This window comes from Homo sapiens, chromosome 14 (assembly GCF_000001405.40).
Source record: "Homo sapiens chromosome 14, GRCh38.p14 Primary Assembly".
Lineage (NCBI taxonomy): Eukaryota > Metazoa > Chordata > Mammalia > Primates > Hominidae > Homo > Homo sapiens.
The window spans coordinates 26,277,440-26,282,571 of NC_000014.9; the positions used below are offsets into that span (position 1 = coordinate 26,277,440).

The window sequence follows — 5,132 nt, forward strand, 5'->3', positions numbered from 1 at the left end:
ATCCAAATCAAACAGCAGGAACTGACATTCAATTATCTGAAAACTTTAAATAACTTCACATTCTAAAAGGCTTCTGTATCACACAAATGAAGAAAATGTTAACTGGTATTAAGAAGTTAGAAAGTAGCAGGCCAAGGATCCAGTAGGTCTTTCAGGAATTTAACCTAGTCTGGAACTGATTCCTTATATTTTTACTGGGCCATTTTATTTATTGAGACCTAGGCCGCAAGAAGCCTGCTTCCTAAGCTATTTTCTTAGAAATATGCCTATCTTCTGAAAATCTTTTGGGATGAGAGCTAAGAAAATGAAAGAGAAAGCAGGAATCAGAAAGCAAAAAAGACATAAGAGAATCAAAGAATAAATACAGAATCAGATAAACAAAACAGTTGAAGTCTAGAAAATAAGAAAGCCCAAGCTAAAAGAAAATCTCTTTGCCAATAAAAATCCAAAATAAAACTCCCAAGGCTTATTCTAAGATTCAAACATAAATATTACATCTGTGGCAAGGAGCAGAGCATTATTAAAATTTTAATATTCTAACACAATTTCTCTCTTCTTCCAGAATACTTAATTCCCATTTCTCTTATTACCTGCATTTGAGAATTACATTTTTTCTAAGTCAATTTACATTTTTATAAAAATGATATAAAATACCTTTTCTTTTCTTTCTTTCTTTTCTTTTTTTTTTTTTAACAGGCTCTTGTTCTATTGCCCACACTGGAGTATAGAGGCACAATCACGGCTCACTGCAGCCTCGATTTCCTGGGCTCAAGTGATCCTCCTGCCTCAGCCTCCTAAGTAGCTGGAACCACAGTTATGCACCACCAAGCCCTGCTAGTTTTAAAAAAATTGTAAAGACAGGGGTCTCCCTATGTTGCCCAGGTGGGTCTCAAACTCCTGGGTTCAAGTGATTCTCCTACCTCAGCCTCCTGAAATGCTGAGATTATAGGCATGAGCCACTGTGCCTGGCTTAAAATATCTTTTCTTAAATATTTGTTGGAAAAATGTTATAGAGAAGAGGAGTTTTTTAGATAATAAATTGTGTTTATAATCAATCAAAAATTTCCTTTTCAAGTGAATAGGTAATACAAGTTAGATGTGTCTACTGGCTATTACATCAAAATGATTAAAGATGGTGAGAGGGCACTTTGGAAAAAGAATATTTGGCTTTGCTTTTCAGTAGCTGCATGATGCCAGGTCTTTCTAATGTTTTAGGATTTTTTGTAAAATTACAGTAACAGCAAATTCTCATTTTAGGTTTAAATGAGGTAATAATTGCCTACTATCTGACAGGCAGTAAGTGCACAATGAATGCTAGATGTTAATATAACTATTGTTATTATTATCATTGTTTGTATTATTGATATGGTTAAATAGACAATGATTTTCTAGAGAAAAGGGATAAGTATATAATTTTGATTCCTCATGTTCTCCACTGATTTACCACTGAATCACCACTTCAGACACTGTGATTAAAAAGGCAGAAAAACATGGAATAAGAATGGGGAAAATAAATTTGCCCAGCAACTATTTTACTAATCAATATTTTCAAATTTAATTAATCGTACAGGTAGAGTGAAGCAGTTGAAATTAAGTAAGGCTTTTTTTCATAAATCAATTAATGTTTCACTAAAATTTAAGTTCTTTGAGAAACTGTGTGTCTCATGGGACCAAACATGAGACATACATGGCAAGACATAATGGGACATAGAATGATTGATTGTTTCCCAAATTCAAAATCCTCTCAACACTTTAATAACATGAAAGTTAAAGGAAAAAACAAAATCTCCATAATTAAATTTTTATTATAACTAAGATATTCTCTATTAGAGATTTTTGTACCTGGTAAAGTATGAAATACTACATGCATCTCCAAATGAATCACTTCTTTGGTCACATTTGCCTATGAAATTGGGTATATTTAATTTGGATAACTTTATTTCCTGGGAGTTATGCCCCCAAAATTTTCTAGAACTGAGAAAAGACATCTATTGAGATGTGAAATAAATAAAATTCAGAGAAGGAGGACAATAAAGGTAAAATATATTTGAGAATAAATGCAGGAAAGTAGACTGTGATAAGGATGACAAAGAAGATCAAGGCCTAAAGATAAAAGGTCATCTTGTTCCAGACTTAATTCATATTGCATAAGTTAATGGTAAAATTCCAACCCCATCTGTAGGCATATCACAGACATGCCAAAGGATATGGCAGATTTTTAATCAATGGAATTCTAATATGCTTTAAGCTCTATGCTCAAGTTTAGATCATTTCAGATGCAAGATATATTTCCAGCAAGATCTCTTACCAAAAGCAAAACATCTGCTAAGAGCTTTCCATTTTTGCAACACCTTCTTTCAACAGTTTCTATAATTTCCAAAAAAAAATACATAAGCAGAGAATACAGCTAAATGAGAACAGCTGCATGAATTCAGTTTTTGAATCTATTCTTTCATTTCTCCCTTCTGTCCCCATCGCAGTTCTTAATATTATACGGAATGAAAGAGAAAGAAAAAGTAAATATGAGTGAGATTAAGAAATATATTTTATACCAATATCCTCTAAGCTAAAGTCTTTGCTCTAATAAAAATAAACAGGAGAATTTTAATGAGTCACCAGTTTTCTAAACTTTTTATAATTGCATAGTTCCATACATACAAACCATCTGAAATACATAGTTCCAGTAGACTTTATAGAATAGAGGGGATTTGTAGGTGAGGAAAATGATGTACTTCCTAAGGATCATTTGGCAAGTCATTAACATCTGGGAAGGGATGCTCAGAATGCTTGATTCTCAAGATCATGGCTAAGTTCCTGACGACTGCTAGAGAAGTTTCATGTGGTGTCTGCTATGGGCTGAGCTGTGTTTCCGCAAACTTGACATGTTGAAGTCTTTAACCCCAATTAACTCAGAATGTGACTGTATTCGAACACAGAGTCTCAAAGAAGTAATTAATAAATGAGGCCATTAGAGAGGGCCCTAAGCCAATATGACTGGTGTCCTTATCAGAAGAAAAGATGAGGATACAACACACACAGAGGGAAGACCATGTGAAGATTCAGGGAGAAGGTAGCTATCTACAAGTCAAGGAGAGGGGCTTCAGAAGGAACCAGCCCTGCTGACACTCAGACTTGATCTCAGACTTTTAGTGTCCAGATCTGTGAGAAGTGTATTTCTGTTCTTTCAGCCTCTCAGTTTGTAGTACTTTGTTACAGCAGCAGTAGTAGCAGGCTAGCACATGTCAGGCTAGTCAATTCTTAGTTTTTTAAAGATCAATGATAGTACATAGATTAGCCAGCTTCTTTTTTTTTTTCTATTTCTATTTTTTATTAATGTATTTCCTAGAAACTGAGTAGGAATAAAAAGAAAAATGAGTTTAGTAAAAGATTTGTTTGGGGGAGGCGATTTAAGAAAAAATATCTATTGTTTTCTCTCCTTGAATTCTAGCTGGGAAAAGTTAGGTGTTCTGTCCCCTGTACTCCTATTATGGCACTTGGAGTATTATATTATAGTTCTGTTCTAGATTGTGAACACTATGCAAGTAGGAATTCTTTTTACTTTGTATGTCTATAGATGCCCTCACAGTATCTGGGACAGACTATTCCTAGGACCTCAAACAGCTCTTGACACATACTGGACATTCAGTAAATGTAATAGGTGTTCCATAAATATTCTGTGAATCAAGGAACGCTAAAACAGTGGTAATTTCCCTCTCTTTCTTACTGACACAGAAACAGTAAGTGGCTTTCCAAAGATTACCTTAATTTTGGCTTCTGAAGCAGCCCAAGAAACCACACTCTTCTTTTCTTGACTTCTGAATGCTTAATGCAGGCAAAGGAACTGAAAACGGAGAATAGAATATCACCTTCATTATTATGACTAGACTAGAACATGATATAGAGGTATAACAACCACTATATCAACCACTAGATATAGCGGTATAGCAACCACTAGAACATGATATAGTGGTATAACAACCCTAAAATTAAAGATAGAGTCTTAACCAGGCACAGACAGAGCTTGATGGGCTGGAGGTCTCACCATGTGAAACATACCGCATGGGGGATGGGACACAAAGCCTGTTCCTTGGCAGCTGGGTCCCAAAGAGGGGAGAAAATATGAGAAGAGGGGGCTTTGAAACTGATGAAAAACATAAGCCACTTCACTTCTCCTAGAGAGGAGTATGCAAAGGAATAAAAAATCAGAAAAGTTGTTCTAGTGAAGCACCCTCTGCAGGAAAAGAAACACCAAAAGCCTAGAGTAGGTGTTTCCCAGCCACCTCCCTTCCAAAGAGTTTGGTATGCCCAGCATTCAGACGCAAGGCTTCTGACAATATTTGCCTTCTCATAGTGACTCAGCAGAATTGAGGATAAAAAGAATGTCAGCTTAACCTGAGTTTGGGCCTCTATCTAGAGTCGAATTGAGGCTATGTAATCATCAGTCTTTCACAAAATTTTTTGCAGCCCTAACATAAAAGTCATATTATAAAGCTCCACATTTGGCAAATGGTAGAAACCAAATAAATAGTAAAATGTTCATTTTGTAGAAATACTACAAAAAGAAACAACCTTGGAGAATTTCTGATTTGGCACAAACTTGAAAGGGAAGAGATTCAAAAATGAGGGCTGGCATAAAAAGGAATGAGATCATGTCCTTTGCAGGGACATGGATGGAGCTTGAAGCCATTATCCTCAGCAAACTAACACAGAAACAGAAAAACAAACATTGCATATTGTCATTCACAAGTGGGAGCTGAACAATGAGAACACGTGGACACATGGCGGGGAACAACACACACTGGGGCCTGTTGGGGTGGGGGTGAGGGAAGATAGAGCAACAGGAAGAATAGCTAATGGACGCTGGGCTTAATACTTAGGTGAGGGGTGGTCTGTGCAGCAAACCAACATGGCACACGTTTACTTATGTAACAAACCTGCACATCCTGCACATGTACTCCGGAAATAAAAATAAAAGTTGAAGAAAAACAAAAGAAAAAAAGAGAATGAGGGCTGGGAATGAGTGAGATGGAGACGGAGAGGGAGTAGGGAAAAGAAATTTTTTTCCTAAAAGATTTTCAGCTGTATTTGTGCAGCTGCTTTCTGTTTTCAGAAACAAAAAGCAAGAAACATTT

The 5,132-nt window shown here is 36.0% G+C and overlaps 1 annotated feature.

Annotated features, from left to right (window-relative positions):
- Nucleotides 3,592-4,791: an enhancer, noted in NCBI's record as "MED14-independent group 3 enhancer chr14:26750237-26751436 (GRCh37/hg19 assembly coordinates)". NCBI's record gives its function as "activates an origin of replication core promoter dependent on BRD2, BRD4, P300/CBP and CDK7 cofactors, and independent of MED14, by STARR-seq in HCT116 cells {active_cell/tissue: HCT116}" and the evidence as "EXISTENCE:reporter gene assay evidence [ECO:0000049][PMID:35650434]".